Source organism: Homo sapiens, chromosome 20 (assembly GCF_000001405.40).
Source record: "Homo sapiens chromosome 20, GRCh38.p14 Primary Assembly".
Classification (NCBI taxonomy): domain Eukaryota; kingdom Metazoa; phylum Chordata; class Mammalia; order Primates; family Hominidae; genus Homo; species Homo sapiens.
The window spans coordinates 35,969,118-35,990,389 of record NC_000020.11 but is presented as its reverse complement, the minus strand read 5'-3'; the positions used below and the strand labels follow the sequence as shown (position 1 = coordinate 35,990,389).

The following is a 21,272-nucleotide window of genomic DNA, read 5'->3' as shown; positions in this document are numbered from 1 at the left end:
CAAAGTGCTAGGATTACAGGTGTGAGCCACGGCGCCCGGAGCAATAATAGCTTTTAAATATTGTTAGACGATTTCATTCTCTTTGCAGTGTAGCAGCTATAGACCCAAGCCACTTTTAAATTTAATCTGCATTATAAGCATTTTCTTTTATCACTTTCCTAAGACAATCAGCAAAGCCCTAAACCAAGACCTGACTTAGGGTGTTTGCTGATTCCATTGTATAAATTATCCAACCATGGCTAATTGTAAGCTACCAACATGAGGTCACTGAATGTGGAGTGGGGAAGAGATGCTCACAATTGCATAGTATTTCTACCATAGAGACACAATAGACGTAACCTGAAGAGAAAAACTAGTAAAAATGCAGTAACATCAGTAGGAAATGATGAGTTTTCAGTATGTATTACCCTTGTTTTCTTTCTTTCCTTCTCTCTCTTGCTTGCTCCTTCCTTCCTTTCTTCTTTCCTTCCTTTCTTCCCCCTCCCCTCCCCTCCCCTCTTCTCTCTCTCTCTCTCTCTCTCTCCCTCTCTCATCTGTCTTTCTTTCTTAGAGATAGGGTCTTGCTATGTTGCCCAGGCTGCTTTCAAACTCCTGGGCTCAAATGATCTTCCTGCATGAGTCTCCTGAGTCGTTAAGACTATGGGCATCAGCCACCATGCCCAGCTCCTAATTTTCCATATAACTTATTTAATTGTAGGTTTATAGCATCTAATTTGTAATAATTACTATGTTTACCAAAATTCCTGAAAATTTAACAATCAGCTCTCATAGGCAGGTACAAGCCAGTGCCAGCACACAACCAATCTTGCTTCCTCCTTTTGCCTAATGGTTCAATATGTCAGGGCTCATCTCCCACCTCACCTCCTCCAGGAAGCCCTTCTTAAAGCCTCCAGCCTTTAGAGAGTTCCCTCTCCTGAAATCTTGTAACTTGCAGAGTTTGCACCAATCACTTGGTACTTGGCATTGACACTTTTCTTTGTCTATGTGTGGAATCTGGTGGAGGAGATCTATAAAGAGAGAAAACCAGTCTTTTTCATCTTTGTATCCCTCCAGAGCCTGGACCAATGTGTCATGACCTTGGCAAAAACTCAACAAATGCCTGTGGTGGCTTAATCTGTAAGAACCAGACAGAAAGGTCAGCCCAAATCCTAAATCCAAGTTCTTGAAAATATCTTTGCAGTCAGAGAGACTTGGGTTGAACCCTGCCTCTGCACTTCATCAGCTGTGTGACCTTGGATAACCACTTCACCTTACTGTGCCTCAGTTTCCTCCTCTGTAAAATGGGAATAATGACAATACTAACCTCCTCCGGGCTATAGAGACTAAAATGAGATGAAGCATGTGAAACATAGAACCTGGCATACAGTAAGCACTTGAGAAATGGGAGATTTTCTTTTCATTATCAACCAACAGAGAAGGTGGCAAAGGACGTGAAGCAATTTGCAAAAGATAAAATGTAGGTCATAAACAAACATGATAAATCTCACTAGTAATCAGAAAAAATATCAAATCCTCAGTATGGCAGCAATTGCGACCTATTAAACTAGAAAACTTTTGAAAAAATGACATGCAAGGCTGGCAGAGCTGTGATGGCACCAACAAAAATGTACATCCTGGACACTAGATAAGGTGGGGCTCTCCTTTTGGAATGCAATTTGTTGCAGGAGCCATAAAAATTACGATACTGAGAGTTGAGTCCAATCTCTGTCTCTGGCTGCAAGACTCCATTGCAGTGGTCCCTATACCTATGGCTATGGCCCCTTTGAATAAAGTCTGCCTTACAAAACAAAATCATGATACCAAGAAATTCCATTTTGAAACTCTACTCTGAGATGATGGGTTTATGGATGATTTCTTCCCTTTTTCCAGAAAGTTTCCTAATGTGGTCATATCACTTTTACAATTTAAAGATAATTTAAGGTTGGGTGTGGTGGCTAACATCTGTAATCCCAGCACTTTGGGAGGCTGAGGCAGGCAGATCACTTGAGGCCATGAGTTTGAAACCAGCCTGGCCAGTATGACGAAACCCCATCTCTACTAAAAATACAAAAAAAAATTAGCCAGGCATGGTGGCACATACCTATAGTCCTAGCTACTCTGGAGGCTGAGGCAGGAGAATCACTTGAACCCAGGAGGCAGAGGTTGCAGTGAGCCAAGATCTCGTCACTGCACTCCAGTTTGGGGCACAGAGTGAGCAAGACTCTGTCTCAAAAATAAATAGGCTGGGCCTGGTGGCTCATGCCTGTAATCCCAGCACTTTGGGAGGCCGAGGCAGGCAGATCACCTGAGGTCAGGAGATCGACACCAGCCTGTCCAACATGGTGAAACCCCGTCTCTACTAAAAGTACAAAAATTAGCCGGGCATGGTGGCAGGCACCTGTAATCTCAGCTACTCAGGAGGGTGAGGCAGAAGAATTGCTGAAACCCAGGAGGCAGAGGTTGCAGTGAGCCAAGATTGTGCCATTGCACTCCAGCCTGGGCTGACAACAGCGAGACTCTTGTCTCAAAATAAATAAATAAATAAATAAATAAATTTAAAAGTGATCTGGCATCACTAAGATTCAACAGCCAAATGCATAATTTAAATATGCATCTATATGTAAATAAGCATGCTTAGGAGCTCAAGGCGGGAGAATCCCTTGGTCCTCTTTCTAACACAATAGCCATATATCTAATGTCTCTAGCCATGCTCTGTGAGAGGCAGGCCTCTTACAGCTGGGACATGGAAACTCTGAGAAGGAAGTGAATTGCACAGGTTGCAGAAAAGGGCTCAAACTCTGACCATCAGGTCACAGGACATGATCTTAGGCATGCTCCTCAGAGGTTCACCCTCATCCCAACCCCCAGACTTTTCACCTTGCTGATAAACATGATGAAGGGTGACTCTCCAAAATCTTTTGAGATCAGCTGCCCATACGAGAACCTCTCTATCTTCGCCATGGCTACCAGCTGCCAGAGCTTCTCATCAGACCATGATGCAAACAGCTCCATCTTCCTGTGGGAAGAGCCTGTTAGAATTCATCAACTCCATCACACAAGGTGCCCAGACCTTAGCAATCTGCAGAGGGCACATACTCTTCTCCTGTGGAGGATGCCTGGGTGGAAGATTTCGCTGCTACCTGCCCAATTACCTGGCCTTGCCTGTAGCCATTCTCCTACCTGCTATCACCTTGGCTCCCTCCTCCTTTTCCCAAGGCCCTCCCCTCCAGCCAAGCTCCCCTCTTTACTGCTGCTCAGATGCCCCTGGGTGATCCAGCCTCTGTGCTTTTCTCACCTCTGCTCCTCCTTCCAAGAATCTTCTCCTCCTCCAGCCCTGCCATCCCTCCCCACCGTGGCTCATGAAGCTAGTCCCCACTCCAGCTCACAGCTGCTCTGTCCCCCAACTTAGCGGTTCTGGCCCTACCTTTGCTTTGGGCAGCTCATCCAACCCTTGTGTCCCCCTGGCCTGTTGGCTTCAAATCCTCAGCTCTGGGTCTGGAGAGTGGGACATGTCTGGACTCCACTCTTTCTGCCTGTTGCTCCCTGTGGGTGAACCCACCCCACTGTGACTGCCCCTTCCCCTGACCTTGAACACCACGTTCACAGGCTTGCCTGCCTTCATATGCTGCTCCAAGTGCTGCCAACAATCATCTCAGATTTTCTCACCTCCAACAGGTTAAGGGCTCAGAACTTAACTGACTCAGGTGGACTGAGTTCATTGAATCAGGTTAACTCAAGGTGACTCAGGCCTCAATGCGCGCACTGAGTTAAGGTCAGGGCACCAGAGGTGAACACGCTCAGTGCCATGTCAGGGACGAAGGTCTGAAGACACCAGAAGAAAAGTAGGGCCACCATAGAAGAAGTACCTACCACGCACCAAGCACTGGGCCATACACTTCCCATGATCATTCCATTCCATCCTCACCATGACCTTGGGAGAAGGGTATCCTTATCCCCATTTTACAGAGCAGGAGGCTAAAACACAGAGAAATGGCGTGACCTATCTAGGGTCACATCGCTGGTAACCTAAGAGCTGAGATTGGAGCCAGACCTATTTTTCCACAGTATGGAAAAAAAAAACAGCTCCTCCCTTTAGGACTAAATCCCCACTTTTCCAGGGGATGAAGCTACCTCTCTCAGCCCCAGCCACAGGAACCAGACCCCTCGGCCATCACACTTCTCTGTAGCTGTGCAGCCCTACAGCCCAAATTTTCAGGGCCAGTGCAGATACTTCATTGGATTTTTATTCCTTTTACATAAAGGCAAATAACTGAAGAGCAATTAAATGAGATTTCACTTGCATATCCTTACGTGGCCTTTCATGCACATAAGTATTCAAAAACCAAAAATCTTTTGCTATGTATGAGTTCTGCTTTTAAATATGATACCCAGTTACGGTGCTTACTTTCTGACTCACATGTGATTGTAATTATTTATATCCTGTTATTCACCTTACTCAATATTTATTTGTTGAGCACCTGCATGTGTCTGGCAGTGTGACAACATAAGGATTATAGTAGTGACAAAGACAGATCTATCTGGTCTCTGTCACCATACTGCTTACTGTCTGAGGGGGTATATAAACTGTAAAGAAATTACCATGCAATCAAGAATTATAGTTTGGGCCAGGCGCAGTGGCTTACGCCTGTAATCCCAGCACTTTGGGAGGCCAAGGTAGTCAGATCACTTGAGGCCAGGAGTTCAACACCACCCTGGCCAACATAGTGAAACCCCATCTCTACTAAAAATACAAAAAAGTTAGCTGGGAGTGATGGTGTATGACTGTAATTCCAGCTATGTGGGAGGCTGAGGCAGGAGAATTGCTTGAACCCAGGAGGCGGAGGTTGCAGTGAGATGAGATCATGCCACTGCACTCCAGCCTGGGCAACAGAGCAAGACCCTCTCTCAAAAAAAAAAAAAAAAGGAATTATAGTTTTATAGTTTGGGCTGAGCATGGGGGCTCATGTCTGTAATCCCAGCACTTTAGGAGGCCAAAGTGGCAGGATCACTTGAGACCAGGAGTTCAAGACCAGCCTGGGCAACATAACAAGATTCCATCTCTACAAATAATAGAACAATTAGCTGGATGTGGCAGCACACCTACAGTCCTAGCTACTAGGACCACACTCTGTTGCCCAGGCTGGAGTGCAGTGATGCGATCACAACTCACCACAGCCTCGAACTCCTGGGCCCAAGTGATCCTCCCACCTCAGCCTCCCAAGTAGCTGAAACTATAGGTATGTGCCACCACACCCAGCTAATTTTTTTTAATTTTTTATTTTGTAGGGACAGGATTTCACTATGTTGTCCAGGCTGGTCTTGAACTCCTGGGTTCAGGGATCCTCCCACCTTGGCCTCCTAAAGTGCTGGGATTACAGGAGTGAGCCACTGTGCCCAGTCCCGTGTTAGCTATTCTTACTATTACTTTCAATAAAGAAGGGATATTTGAGCTGAGACCCGAAGGGATAGTAGGAGTCTGCAGAGAGAGAAGGTGGGTACGAGGTGGGACTTCAGAGCATCCCAGACAGAGAGAACAGCAACCAGTATGTTTCCCACCAGGCCTAGGACAGACAAAGTCAGGCAGCTAATAAACACACAAGGGGAAAAAAATGTTGAATGAAGGCAGAGTTACCTAAAAAATTCAAACCGATACTGAGCATCCTTCTGAACTTCCTGGTCCAGCTTATTAGCAAAGAAGTCCTCCCGGTCAACAACCAGGAACTCCGTTTCTTCCATACAGACGATGGTGGACCTCCTCACTGAAGCATGCAGAACGTCCATTTCCTGTTGGGTGGACAGGGCAAGGGCAAGTGTGAGGCCACCTCCACTTCCTGTCCTCAGCCTTACACACATCTTCCGTGCCTCCATCTTCCCCCTGAATTCTCTCCTCACCAGACTGTGTGTTCCCTAGCCTCCTCTATTCTCCTGCACATTCTCCCACTGGGGCCCACTCCCCTTCTTCTTAATCTGCTGCTTATGGAAAAAGAGGCAACAGACCTGAACAGGCCAGAGGGGAGGAAGCTGGAGAGGCCTCACTATGGAGTCACTTCATCTCTAAAGGGCTGTATCAGGAACATACTTCTTAAACATCACAGATGAAGAGGCTGATCTTAGTCCAACTCAATTAGCATTTGACAGGTAAGGGGCCCACACGGGACACTGACTTGTACAGAGTACTAGGCAGGACTGGGCCTGGCTGAGAGGTTCTAGCAGAAGTCCTGTCACCTCCACCCACTCCACCCCAGGAAACTGGGTCCTTCCCCTGGGCTTACCCCAAAACAGCTACCCTTGTGCAGCAATTTCGGGTGGGGATCTAGGAAGGCACTGCTGCCATCCTCGTCCTTGGTTATTGCAACTGTGCCCAGGTAGATGAAATAAAAGCTGTTGCCCTTCTGCCCCTTCTTGATGATCACACGCCTGCGACCAAACCTGGGAAAAGACCACTGCTAGTTGATTGGGTAGTGACATGGGGGCAGGTCCAAGCTGAGAGGAGCTCTGGACTGGTTGTGCTCTTTGCTTTGGGATATAAGAGCACAGACTTGGACCAGAAGGGCCCTCAGGACAGCCCAGCCCTGCCAGTCAAGCTGGAGCCTTTCACTAACACCTATCCCGTTGCCTGCCTCGGTTGAACTGAAGCTTCCTGAGAGCAGAGTCTTTGCCAGTCTGGGTCACTGCTGCGTGTGCTTGGGCACAGTGAATGTTCATTGAACATAGTGGAATAAATGAGTGAACACATGCTGAAAGCAATGAATGGGTTAGTAGAGTCACTAAATGATTAGGAGGACTGGCTTTAGCGTTAGCCCAGGATCCAAATCCTGGTTCTGCTCTTAGCTGTGTGACACTGAGCAATGGATATCCCCTCTCTGATCCTTGGTTTCTCTTGTCTGTAAAATGCAGATGAGTATGCCTAGAATGAGACACAGATAATGGTCTTATCATAATTACCAGCAGCCCACTACCCAACTGGGCACCCTTGGGGTAGAGGTGCCCAGGCCCAGAGCGAACAAGGAGTTCTTAAACTCAGAGGGAAGTTTCTGTATTTCGTATGCAAGTCCAAATCTCAATTCTTTCGATATTTATTCTTTTCCTTCATTCATTCAATAAGTTAAATAAATATCAGTGGTGTCTGTTAGGTACCGTGAGGCCAGGTGTGGTGGCACACGCCTGTTAATCCCAGCACTTTGGGAGGCCAAGGTGGGAGGATCATTTGAGCCTAGGAGTTTGAGATAGGGACAGGGTCTCACTATGTTGCCTAGGCTGGTCTTGAACTCCTGGGCTCAAGGATCCTCCCACCTTGGCCTTGCAAAGTGCTGGGATTACAGGAGTAAGCCACTGTGCCCAGTCCCATGTTAGCTATTCTTACTATTACTATCAATAAGGAAGGGATATTTGAGCTGAGACCTGAAGTTGCCACATCCAGCTAATTGTTCTATTATTTGGAGAGTCGGAGTCTTGTTATGTTGCCCAGGCTGGTCTTGAACTCCTGGGTGGGCAACAAGGTGAAACCTCATCTCTACAAAAAATGCAAAGATTAGCCAAATGTGGGGGTGCACACCTGTAGTCCCAGCTGCCTGTAAGGCTGAGGTGGGAAGATCACCTGAGCCTGGGAGTTTAGGGCTATGGTGAGCCATGATCATACCACTGCACTCTGGCCTGGGTGACTCTGTCTCAAAAAAAAAAAAATTGGGCACAATGAACAACACAGACTTTGTTTTCAAAATTATGGTCACATACAGGATGTAAATAAGGTTTAAAAATGCTTTAAGAGATGTCAGTGCAGGCTACTTGAGGAGCACAGAGAAGGGGCCTTTATCCAAGCTTAGGAAGGTCAGACAAGGCTCTAGCATGGTGCTTGAAGTGAGTCATCCAGGTGGACAAAGAGATGGAAGAGGGTCCCAGGCACAGGGACCACCATGACCAAAGGTGCAGAGGTGGCCCAAAGCACGGCACATTCAAGGGATAACGTGTACTTCATAGGTAATGTGCACTTCACGGGAAAGGAAAATGGGAGAAGGCAAGTCAGGGGAGTGGTGGGAGAGAAATTCGACTGGTCCCACCATAAAGGGCCTCCAAAGCTCAGCTAAGTTTGGATTTTACCCAGGAGACAATGGGTAAAAAAAAGTCTGCCCTTTAGTCTCTGCCAGGACTGATGAGCAGCCATTGTGGAAGTGCCCCGATAGCAGGGCCATTGTCCCCAGCTCTGAGCTCATGGCCCTGCCCTCAGCAGTTCCTCCTCTTCCTCCTCCCCCTCCACACTGCCACCTTCTGCTCCTTCCTGACTCGCTGGCTTGACCAGCAGCAGGGGAACCAACACCCTGCTCAGGGCAGATGATACCCACTTTGTTCCATCAGTTTGTCCATGTTGCTCCCCTGCCTGCAATGGCCTTCCCTGTCTTCTCCACTATTCAGATCCTTTCAGGAACTCAGATCCTACTTCCTCCAGGAAGCCTTCCCTGACCCAGCCCCCAGCAGCATCTCCTCTTCTGACCTCTTAGAGAGTACTCACTGGCCTTGTGATTCTGTGGCAAACTCCTGAGGGAAGGGATCAGAGGACAGACAGAGGACCACACCAGGCTGGAGTCAGTACTGCCCAGCCTCCATTGTGGCTGTGGGCTTCATGAGCTACAAACCAGTATCAGCCTGGAATCTTTATCAATGTAGGAAAGAGGCAAGCCAGGCACGGTGGTACACGTCTGTAATCCCAGCATTTTGGGAGGCTGAGGTGGAAGAATCACTTGAGCTCAGGAGTTCAAGACCACCCTGAGCAACATAGTGAGACTATGTCTCTACAAAAAATAAAAAGTAAAATTAGCCAGGAATGGTGATGCCTACCCCTTGTCCCAGCTACAAAGGAGGCCGAGGTGGAAGGCTCATATGAACCTAGGAGGTAGAGGCTTCAGTGAGCTGTGATCACACCACTGCACTCCAGCCTGGTTGACAGGACGAGACCCATCTCAAAAAATAATAATAATAAAAAGAATAAAGAAAGAGGAGATGGCCCAGGTGATAATGACTAGCTGGGAGATAGCAGGAATATTCAGCTAGGAAATGAGATTTTGAAGATGAGGGAGCACAGGCACTGTTCACTGAAGTAAAGATGACTAGAGCTAGAGCCAGAAAGACCCTCAGAGACCATCAAGCTCAACCAACATTTTTGGGAAGGGGAAAGGGGGACCCAAGGAACCCACAGCTTGCTGAAAGTCACGGCAAGCCACAATCAAGTCAGAGCTAGAACCCGAATCTCCAAAAGCAGACATCTGTCGCTTTTGCTGTCAAGCATCTGGTCATATTTTTCCACCAATCACACCCTGATTCTCCTTTGGGAAACTACCCTTTCTCAACTCTCAATCAGAGCATCACTGACCTCAGTGGTAATTCAAGCAAAGCCAAGCTGTTTCAGAAAGAATTCATCCCAAGCTCTGATGGGCGTAACTGAAAAGAGCTTCAGCGCTGTTTCTTTTTGTCTGGGTGACCTAGGAGGAGCCATTTTCCCCCACAGAGCCTCAGTTTCCTCATCTGAAAAATGAGGGAATTGGACCAGATCCTCTCTGAGGTTTCTACTAGATCCTCTCCAGATTTAATGGCCCTTTAATTAAGAGTCTCAATAAGTGAGCGAGATAAAGGGTGCTGCGACCATAGCAGTGGGAGCTGAAGTGAATGGACAGAAGACTTCATTCATGGCTGACATTATGCAGAGGGGTGGGCAGGACCTGCCACACCTTCTCAGCCAGGCTCTTTTGCTCAGTCCAGCCTCAGCCTGGTGGCCAAGGGCTGTGCCCCTCACTGACCGTTCAAAGCGCATGACTTTGGCCAGGAGCAGCTGCAGGGGCTCTGCGTAGTTCCGATAGCTATCCAGAACCTGCAAGATGTTACAGACGGCCTGGATCTCATCCTCTGTTCTCCAGGAAGGCTTCTTCTGCATGATCTGAATGGCCTTTGGAGGAAAGTGACCCTGGGGAGAGAGGACCAGAGTGATACAGGGGACCCAGCAATTTCACCCATGGGCCAGCGGGCAACACCCCACAGTCCTGCTTGTACACTCTCCCGTTCCCTGTACCACAGTGGCTGACGTGATGAGTGCTTACTGTGTGTCAGGCACTGGGATAAACATTTTACACGCCCATCTCACTGCATCCTGCCAGCCCAAGAACTGTTATTCCATTTGACAGATGAAGAAACTCAGGCAGGATTAGGAGATCTGACACATATCAACGCTGACATCCCCCCGACCTGTGTTGTTCATTGACCTTCCCAGGCAATACAGGCTTCCCTGGGCTCCAGTGGTCCTGCAGAGTCTGCTCAGCACATACACATAGCAGTCAGGGGAGACCTTTGCCTCTGTCTCAGCCTAGAGCTCAGTGTGCTACAGGAGACTAACAAGCAAAGTGAACCTTCCAGAGACTATTAGCTAAAGCTTTTCTTCTCCAGTGAACCAGGCCTCATGGACCAGCACGTTCACCTACCACTCCCACCTGCTGAAGAAGTGACACTGTGAGTTGTGAACACCCTCAATGGCTTCTCTCCAGCCTCATCTCCTACCTCTCCCCTTTGTTCTCTACTCTGGAACTTTCTACCTGTCCCTGGCATGTGCTAAGCTCGGCTCTGTCTTGAGGTCTCTGCCTGGGCTGTTTTTTTCTGCCTGGAATATTTGTCCCCTGGGTTTTCTCGTGGACATGGCTGACTCATCATTCTGGTCTCAGCTCAGATGCTGCCACACCCTCAGTGAGTCCCCACTGGGTCGTCTTAGCTGAAAGAGTAGCCCCTTCCCCAGTAGGCTCTTGCTATAGGGTGAACGTCCCCTCCAAAACTTGTGTCAAAATATAATTGCCATTCTGACACTATTAAGAAGTGGACGCTGGGCACAGTGGCTCATGCCTATAATCCCAACACTTTGGGAGGCCAAGGCAGGGGGATCACTTGAGGCCAGGAGTTTGAGACCAGCCTAGGCAACATAGCAAGACCTTGTTTCTACAAAAAAATTTGTAAAACTGAGACCTTTAAGAGGTAATTAGGTTACAAGGGCTCTGCCTTAGTGAATGGATTAATGTAATTATCATGAAAGTGGGTAACTTACTAGTTAAGTCTCATCATAACTCCTAGTTAGCTCCTCAATGGCAGGCTGGGGATGTTACACAGCCTAATATTCCTCACAACCACACACAGATCTAGGCCTACCTTAGGAGCTCAAAAAATGTCTGGGATGGGGAAAAGGGAATACACTTCAAATAGGGCATAGGAGACTTGGCCCGTCTGCTTCTCAAACACCATTTCTCACCATTTTCCCTTCACTCACTGCAGGCCAGCCACACCCCTACTGTGTTCCTCCAGAGGACATGAAGGATCAAGAAAGAATGACTGACCATAATCCCACTACCCAAAATTAGCCATTAACATCTGGCATAATAACTTCCTCTATTTTTCTTAGGTGTAAGTAAAATTTTTAGAAATAACACATATTTTCCATTAGAAATCAGAACAACACAGATAGTTAAAATCCTCTTATATGTATACACCACCCCAATCCAGATCTGCTCCCCACCATCTGAGTTTACCACTTTTATGTATGCATATATATGTACCCACAGAATATATAAGACTATTTTGTATTTTAAAATTTACTGCTGGGCATAGTGGCTCATGCCTGTAATCCCAGTGCTTTGGGAGGCCAAGGCAGGAGGATCACTTGAGCCCAGGAGTTCGAAACCAGCCTGGGCAATATGGCAAGACCCTCATCTCTACAAAAAATTTAAGAATTAGCTGGGCATTGGGCCGGGCACGGTGGCTCTTGCCTATAATCCCAGCACTTTGGGAGGCCAAGGCGGACGGATCACGAGGTCAGGAGATCAAGACTACCCTGGCTAACACGGTGAAACCCCGTCTCTACTAAAAATACAAAAAATTAGCAGGGCGTGGTGGCAGGCGCCTTTAGTTCCAGCTACTCAGGAGGCTGAGGCAAGAGAATGGCGTGAACCCGGGAGGCAGAGCTTGTAGTGAGCCCAGATCGCTCCACTACACACCAGCCTGGGAGACAGAGCTCGACTCCGTCTCAAAAAAAAAAAAAAAAAATTAGCCAGGCGTAGTGGCACACACTTGCAGTCCTAGCTACTGGGGGGCACTAAAATGGGAGGACCGCTTGAGCCCAAGGAGGTTGAGGTTGCAGTGAGCTGTGATTGCATCACTGCACTTCAGCCTGGATGACACAGCAAGACTCTGTCTCAAAAACTAAAAATAAAAAATTTACATAAATGTCAAGACTGTAGACATCACTTGCACAATTTGCTTTTCTTCACTCAGTGTTTTTCTAAACAATGTTTTGTAAATGTATCCATTGTTTCCACTGTCTGACAGTTGCTGCAATAATTGAGTCTATGATTCTAAGCCTCTCTAATACTAAGGGTTGTCTGTGAGAAGTTTAGCGTTATTAGAAGCCCAATATGGACTATACTGAGGCTTAGTTGTCCATCAGAATCCAAATGCTGTGCTGAGGGGCAGGTTATATAACTATACATGTGTGTGTACTATATATTATATGTCATTTTTACTTAGATATAATTCACATGCCCTGGAAATCACCATTTAAAGTGTACAATTCAGTGTTTTTTAGTGTATTCACAGAGTTGTACAACAATCACCACACTGTTTTGGAAGCTTTTCATCACCCCAAAGAAACCCTATACTCATTAGCATCACTCAGAGGGCTGGGCTTGCTTTTTTGGGATGGGTTGGGGGCAGGGGGACAGGGTCTCACTCTGTCACCCAGACTGCAGTGCAGTGGCACAGTCATAGCTCACTGCGACCTCGATTTCCCAGGCTCCAGCAATCCTCGCACCTCAGCCTCCCAAAATTCTGGGATCACAGGTGTGAGCCACCGTGCCTAGCTAATTATTTTTATTTTTTAATTTTTAGTAGAGACAGGGTCTCACATGTTGCTCAGACTGGTCTAAAACTCCTGAGCTCAGGTAATCTTCCTGCCTCGGCCTCCCAAAGTGCTGAGATTACAAGCGTGAGCTAGCACATCTGGCCAAAGGGCTGGTTTTTAAAATGAGCCTCCAGCTGGGCTCAGCAGCGCACACCTGTAATGCCAGCTACTCAGAAGGCTGAGACGGGAGGATAAATTGGCTCTCTACTCTTCCCTGTGTTGGAACCAGAGTCAGGCATGATTCATTTGAGGACCACCTATAGGCCTTGCCCATAACAAAGAATTTTCCCTTTGTGCCCTCTTCCCGCCCTCTACTGCGGTGCACAGAATTGCCCTCATATCTAGAGTTCTGTGGCTCTCAGATAGGCCCCTAGTTTCTCCTGCCTGAAGGAAAGAGCCTGATTAAGCTTCAGTGCTCAGTGTCACACACTAGCCAGCCTGAAGAGCTGAAGAGTCACAGAGCTTGAATGACTTAACTGAGTATGCTTCATACACGAGGGGGCACGAAAAATAAGGCTGTGCCCAGGAGAGGCAAGCAACAGAAGCCATACCTGGGCTCCAAGAAGAGAAAGGGGTGGGGCAGGAGATGGGCACAGGTGGCCCTGATACCCATTATAAAGTTCTTTTCTTTCCCCTTCCACTGAGGAAAAAAACAACAACGTGGCTACTCCAAGCCAGGATCAAGTCAGGTCTGCATTGGTGAGAATTTCAGATGTTCCCTATAAATAGGTAGACTCTTTTAAATTTTAAATTGGATTTTAATATTTAATATCCAGGATATCATGGAGAGAAGCCAAGAAGATAACAATGATGAGATTGAAATTCAGGGAACAAGTCACACAGTCCAAAGCTCCCATGGATATAAAAGCATTCTCTCATCAAAATGAGAGGACTCTTTTTTAGAGAGGGGGCCTCGCTCTATCACCCAGACTGGAATGCAGTGATACGACCATAGCTCACTGCAGTCTTGAACTCCTGGCCTCAAGTGATCCTCCCACCTCAGCCTTCCGAGTGTCAACAGCTGCGCTGCACCTGAATAAGACTCTTTAAGGGTATCTGACACCCAGGTGTGAGAGGTGTGCCCAGCATCTCTCAGAGAATTCAGGGTAGAACCAGAATTCACACAGGTCAGCCCTTTCCCACCACCTGAATTCTTCCTCTCTCTGGGACTCTCACATCCTCTGCTTTATCTTTTCCTGCTGTTTTCCCACGGGTCCAAGCCCAGGAACTCTCTCCCATTGGTTCTGCTCAACTGTGCAGTGACAGCTGGTTCCTACATGCTCACAGTCTTGGAGCTCCAGGGCTGGAAGGAATCACTGAGATCAGCTATTTTATTGATGAGGAAACGAAGTGGCCAACCCAGGGTGACAAGCTGAGTTGGTGGCAGAGCCTAGACTGAAACCAGCTCTGCTGATACCCAGCCAGGGTTTCTTCCAAGCCAGGGTGCAGAAAGAAAATTCCCCCACAGCAAGTTTCGAGCTATGCATACCTCCTCTGCAATGAAGTCCATGGTATCAAATGTGACTCGGCTTTGCATCTTTTTCTGAAAGAAAGAGGGCAGGGAGAAGAGGGAGAATCAGCAAGACTGCCCCTAGAACTTTGCATCTAGAGCCCTCCTGTCTACCTGGACCACCATGGTGGGCAGGAAGCCATGGGAAACCTCATAGCAGCCGGCCCTTTCAGGCCTGCCTCTGCTCGAAGGCCCCAACTCAGCACTAGGCTTGGGTCCAGCATTTACAGCATATTATTGTGAAGGCAGAGAAATATGGGGGTGGGGAGAAGGAAAGGAGGATAAGGAGGAAACAGGAAAGGAGAGAGAAAAGGAAGGGGGAAAAGCAGCAAACAAACAAGCATAGAGGAGGAAGAAAAGGAAGAATAAAAAGAAAGGAACAGGCTGGGCGCGGTGGCTCACGCCTGTAATCCCAGCACTTTGGGAGGCCAAGGTGGGCGGATCACGAGGTCAGGAGATCGAGACCATCCTGGCTAACAAGGTGAAACCCCGTCTCTACTAAAAATACAAAAAATTAGCCGGGCGTGGTAGCGGGCGCCTGTAGTCCCAGCTACTCGGGAGGCTGAGGCAGGAGAATGGCGTGAACCCGGGAGGCGGAGCTTGCAGTGAGCCGAGATCGCGCCACTGCACTCCAGCCTGGGCAACAGAGCAAGACTCCATCTCAAAAAATAAAAAAAAAGAGGCCGGGCGCGGTGGCTCACGCCTGTAATCCCAGCACTTTGGGAGGCCGAGGCGGGCGGATCACGAGGTCAGGAGATCGAGACCATCCTGGCTAACAAGGTGAAACCCCGTCTCTACTAAAAATACAAAAAATTAGCCGGGCGTGGTAGCGGGCGCCTGTAGTCCCAGCTACTCGGGAGGCTGAGGCAGGAGAATGGCGTGAACCCGGGAGGCGGAGCTTGCAGTGAGCCGAGATCGCGCCACTGCACTCCAGCCTGGGCGACAGAGCGAGACTCCGTCTCAAAAAAAAAAAATAAAAAAAAATAAAAAAAATAAAAAAAAGAAAGGAACAAATGAAGCCAACCTTTGTTAAATGTCTTTAATGAGCCAAGCACAGTGTATCCTCCCTGCCTTACTCCATTTAGTCATCAGGACAAAGCAGGTTTTATTAAGCTCCATGTAGGACTGAGATGGTGAAGGAACTTGCCCAAGGATCACACAGCAAGTCAGTGGTCTAGCTGAGACCCCAACTCAAGGCTTTCAGCAAACCCAATTCCGTGTCTGGAGTGTGGCCTCAAGCCACATGTCATTTGTTCCTTAGACTCAGACCCGTCTCGCCCCCACAACGTGTTTATCCTTTGCATAGCCATGTGGTGCTTCTCAGGGAGACTACTGAAGGAAAGAGGCAGTGCTCAGAAACATCCAGATTCACACATCTACTGAAGCAGTCTAGGGCTCCCCACCTGATCCTGCACTCCAGCCGCCCAGTGCTCCGCCTGACAACCCTATGACCCTTATAGGCTGCCCTTGAGAGGCTTCTGCTCTGCTCAAGCCACTCTGGCTGGCCAATGTGGTTAGGCTTAGCCTCACATTCCCCTGACAACAAGTGACTCTGCATCTTAGCTTCCAACTGCCCCATGCATCAGGCCACGTCTTCTGGTAACCAAAGCCCTCTGATCTCCAGGGCCCATTGCATCACCATTACATGCCACCCTGAGAGTCAGGAGGTCCTTCCTGAGAGCTAACCTGAGTCTTTTGGTTACAGTTCTTCTACTCCATTCGTTTTTCATCTCAGCCCAACCACAGGGCTGCAGCCTTGTTTGGTTTGGCCAGCACAGGGTCTTAAAATATAATATTTGTATCTGAATGTCTTTAGATGAGGTGTATCTTTCCTCTCCAGCTGGCCTGCTGTATCTTAAACTCAGCTACATACACACTAGTTATATTACCTGCTGGCCCCTCAGAAACCAGTTTAAGGCTGCCTTTCCTTCCCCCATCACCAGCCCCGTATCCCCCTTTCTTTGGCCACTATCTGTCAGAAGCCCTTTAGGGAAATTTCTTGGAGTGAATCACTAGATGCAGAGGAGTGGGGACTGGCTCTAGTCATTCCTGAAACAACAGAAAAATGGGCAGGATTTGTCCAGGTGATTGCTGGGGAAACTTTGAAGCCCTGAGCAACACACCCAGTAGCAATGAAGATACCTCTGGGGAACTAGAACAAGTTAGCAGAAGGGTGACCAACTTTTCTGAGCTAAAGAAGGGCACATGATCTACCACTGGGATAAAATATTTTAAATTGGGACCTTCTAGGAAATCTAGAAACCTGGTCACCAGGCCAGGCACGGTGGCTCACGCCTGTAATCCCAGCACTTTGGGAGGCCGAGGCAGGTGGATCACGAGGTCAAGAGATCAAGACCATCCTGGCTAACAAGGTGAAACCCCGTCTCTACTAAAAATACAAAAAATTAGCTGGGTGTGGTGGCGGGTGCCTGTAGTCCCAGCTACTAGGGAGGCTGAGGCAGGAGAATGGTGTGAACCCGGGAGGTGGAGCTTGCAGTGAGCCAAGACGCGCCACTGCACTCCAGCCTGGGCAACAGAGCAAGACTCCGTCTCAAAAAAATAAAAGAAACATGGTCACCGCAGTGAACAAAGCCCTGAAAATGCCCCTGCACCGAAGTAGGGGTGTAGGAAAGAAAGTAGAGACGCGAATAGAGAGAGCGTGTGGGCATTTAGAAAACCCTGGTTATTGTGATTCCTGGATTGCTTCTGGCTCTTTTGATCACCATTGAAATGGAGACCACCTCTCTACTCCCAAGGTTTCTTTCCACATGGAGGGAGGTGTATTAGTAGAACACTACTGGCCTCTCTCCTTTTACATTGAGGAGTGACTTAAACTCTTTGATGAATTTGGAAAGAGAAAAACTAGGCATGATTGTCTCCTTCCCTCTCAGCCCATATTTTGCTCCACCTTTCCCTGCCATGAGTTTTGGCAGCAGGCCTGCTGTTGCAGTGGAGCCTGCCTTGGTCCAGCGTTGCCTGTGGCTAGGCATGTAAGGCTGTCTAAATCTGGGGTTCAGTATTAGGTAAACCTCTTGGTTGATGATGTAAGTCACCCTCTCCAACAGAAGTATGGCCATTAATAAAAGTGACCATTGGGTCTCTCATCTGCTTTTCCTTTTGTCTTCTTTCTCAGTTCTGAGCTTAGGCCAGGAAGTGGGATGCAATTTATTGGGCTTCTTTGAGCCCTCATAATCCTGCTGAGCCCAACTGCTTACATCCCAGAAGGAGAAGATAGGGTGCTTCCAGTGAGCAGTCTCAATGATTTGATATTCCCGGAATCCCCTGAGGCCTTGGCGGAACATTTTACACACTCGGATCATTATGATGATATCCATGGCGAGCTGGTACAGTCCCTATGGAAACAAAGCAAACAAGATCAATAGAAACCATCTGTTCTCAACAGTCAACAGCAGGCTGGATGGTGCTGAACAAGGTGAAATTTACCAGGATTAAATGCAGTAGTGTGCTGTAGTGTGCTGGAGTGATGGTTACATTTTCAGGAATTTTGCAAGCCTGCTGAAATTAAGTTGGTAACTTAAAACTGGCCATGGTAGGAGTACTTATGCCATAGAAATTGGCAGCTACTAGTCAGGACATCTCTCCCCAGAAGCTAGTTGTTATGCACCAGCAAACCAGCTAAATGTCAAATCCTTCAATTCCATCCACAAAATAAGTGGCACGACTAATTGCAGGCAGTATAGGTATGATGTACAGAGCCTGGATTTTAGAATCAGATAGATCTGAGGGAATAATGGTAAGAGGAATGCAACACTGCTGGCTGTCAAGATGAAGGAAGGGCCCACAAGCCAAGGAATGTGGGTGGCCTTTAGAAGCAGAAAAGGCCGTGAGCCTTGAGAAAGGAATGCTCACACCTTGATTTTAGAACAAGAACATCCATGTCAGACTTCTTGCCTACAGTACTGTAATATAATAAATTTGCTTTGTTTTAAGCCATCAAATTGTGGTAATTTGTTATGGCAGCCATAGAAAACTTATATAACACCTAATCCAAGATGGGCCACCCTACCTTTTCCCCAGGAATTTGGAATTAGACTGAGAACAAGTGAATACAGAAGATAGGGAAAAATCCAGGATGTAGAAGAATCTATAAATCAATGAACCTAGTTTCTTCAAAAAGTCAATTTCATGATGAAAAAAACAAGGCATGGGGGCTGCTCTAGATTAATAAAGATTCAAGAGACATACCAATGGTATGCTTCTTGATTGGATCCTGGTTCATGATAACAAGCTATAAAAGGCACCCTAGGCCAGGTGCGGTGGCTCACGCCTGTAATCCCAGCACTTTGGGAGGCCAAGGCGGGTGAATCACCTGAGGTCAGGAGTTTGAGACCAGCCTGACCAACACAGTGAAACTCCTTCTCTCCTAAAAATACAAAAATTAGCCTGGCATGGTGGTGCTTGCCTGTAGTCCCAGCTACTCGGGAGGCTGAGGCAGGAGAATCACTTGAACCTGGGAGGCAGAGGTTGCAGTGAGCTGAGATCGCGCCTCTGCACTACAGCCTGGGTGACAGAGCAAAGGCACTCTAGGGACAAATAAGGAAATTGAATATGACTGTACATTAGATAATATTAGGAAATCAGTGCCGATTTTCTTAGTATGATAGTGGTATTTGGTTATGTGGGTAATGTCATTATTTTTAAGAAAGATATGTCATAAAGTATGCAGCTTACTTTCAAACAATTCAGCAAACACATATACAAATACATAAAGCCAGGCTGGGCCCGGTGGCTCATGCCTGTAAACCCAGCACTTTGGGAGGCCGAGGCGGGCGGATCACGAGGTCAGGAGATCGAGACCATCCCGGCTAACACGGTGAAACCCCGTCTCTACTAAAAATACAAAAAATTAGCCGGGCGTAGTGGCGGGCGCCTGTAGTCCCAGCTACTTGGGAGGCTGAGGCAGGAGAATGGCGTGAACCCGGGAGGCGGAGCTTGCAGTGAGCCGAGATCCCGCCACTGCACTCCAGCCTGGGCGACAGAGCGAGACTCCGTCTCAAAAAAAAAAAAAAAGAAAAAGAAAAAAATGCAAAAACTAAATAAAAGTCTCTGTTTACTAACTTCTATTGAAAAGTACATCGTTAGCTAGGCACAGTGGCACTCGCCTGTAGTCCCAGCTACTCGGGAGGCCGAGGCAGAAGGATTGCTTGAGCCCAGGAGTTCAAGGTTGCAATGAGCTATGATCGTGCCACTGCACTCCAACCTGGGTAACAGAGCAAGACCCTGTAACAACAACAACAAAATGAAACAAACAAACAAACAAACAGCTCTGGCACAATGGCTCATGCCTGCAATCCTAGCACTTTGGGAGGCCAAGGTGGGCTGATCACTTGAGACCAGGAGTTTGAGACTAGTCTGGCCAACATGGTGAAATCCCATCTGCACTAAAAAAAACAAAAATTAGCCGGGCGTGGTGGTGGGCGCCTGTAATCCCAGCTACTCAGGAGGCTGAGGCACCAGGAGCACTTGAACCTGGGAGGTGGAGGTTGCAGTGAGCTGAAATTGCGCCACTGCACTCCAGCCTGGGCAACAGAGTGAGACTCTGTCTCAAAAAAATAAATAAAAACAAACAAAGGAAAAAAGAGAATGTTCTTTTTAAAGTGTATCATAAACAAAGTGAGACAACGAACTACAGACTGGAAAAATATACTTACTATGCATATAATCAACAAAGGATTACGATCCAAAATTTATTTTTTGTAATCCTACAAATCAAAAGAAAAATACAAATAACCCAATAGCAAAATGAGCAAAGGTAATTCAAAGGGAAAGTTCAAATTACCTATAAATTGTGAAAATATTGTTTTTATTCATTTGTATTTATATTTACATTGTTTGTAAAGAGGGGGTTTCACTTTGTTGCCCAGGCTGGTTTCCAACTCTGGCTTCAAGTGATCCTTCCACCTCAGCCTCCCAAAGTGCTGGGATTACAGGCATGAGCCTTCATGCCCCAGCCAAATTGTGAAACCATTTTTAACATTGCTAGAAATAATGGAAATGGAAATTAAAGTAATAACATGATACTATTTTGCACTTATCACTGGGAACTGGGAAACATGGTACAACCATGTTGAAGAGCAATTTGGCAACATTATATAAAGTTGAGGATGTGTGTACTTCACAATGGAAGAATTGTATGTACTTTATATGTCCTCTTCAGAGAAACATACATGTACAAGGGGATAGCCATGAGGGTAATCATGGCAACATTGTGTGTAACAGTGAATGGCTGAAAACAAATGTTCATTAGTAGGGATCGAAGGGATCAATACATTATGGTTCAGTCACAGGATTGAACACAGCACTAAGTCTGTGTGTGTCAATGTGGATAAAGCTGAAATGATTTTGAGTGGGAAAAAAGAACTATGATGCTATTTATGGTATCATTTTTAAACAGTGTGCCACATACTATATATTGTTTATGGATACATACACATGTGATAATATATAAAAATATAAACAGGAAGGGTGACACCAACTTCAGGAAAGTGGTTACTATTAAAGAGAAATAAAGGGGCATGGGATGGTAAAGAGCTTTCCCTACACCTGTAATGTTCTATTTCTTAAAAATTAGATATCTATGGAAATATGGGGAAAGGTACTTTATGAATAAAATTAATACTTACTGAGTACAATTTACTATTGTCAGGCATTATCCAAAGCACTATTCTGATATGTAAATCATTTAATCAGTAAATTTATGCAGTAGGTACTAGTATTATCATCTCACTTTACAGAGGAGAAAATAAAGGCACAGCAAACCAAGCAACTTGCCTGGGGTCACATGACTAATAGGTGATAGGGATTTAAACCTAGGTAGTCTGGCTCCAGAGTTCACAAGCTTAA

General features: G+C 46.9%; 1 protein-coding gene across 21 annotated transcripts in view; it reads right to left on the bottom strand.

The window, feature by feature from the left end:
* Nucleotides 1-21,272, bottom strand: part of CNBD2 (cyclic nucleotide binding domain containing 2) — a 76,315-nt gene that overhangs the window by 40,311 nt on the left and 14,732 nt on the right. For 10 of the 21 annotated variants that reach the window (XM_047439921.1, XM_047439922.1, XM_047439927.1 and 7 more), the window contains 6 exons: nt 17,624-17,761; nt 14,388-14,441; nt 9,768-9,931; nt 6,252-6,408; nt 5,612-5,763; nt 2,857-2,995 (listed from right to left, as the gene is read on the bottom strand). In XM_047439921.1, coding sequence (XP_047295877.1) covers nt 2,857-2,995; nt 5,612-5,763; nt 6,252-6,408; nt 9,768-9,931; nt 14,388-14,441; nt 17,624-17,761 — 804 coding nt within the window. Of the gene's footprint in view, nt 1-2,856; nt 2,996-3,017; nt 3,955-5,611; nt 5,764-6,251; nt 6,409-9,767; nt 9,932-14,387; nt 14,442-15,433; nt 17,762-17,852; nt 18,264-21,052; nt 21,096-21,272 lie in introns of those variants that run through there. The other 11 variants (XM_047439923.1, XM_017027683.3, XM_011528592.1 and 8 more) reach the window with 11 other exon arrangements.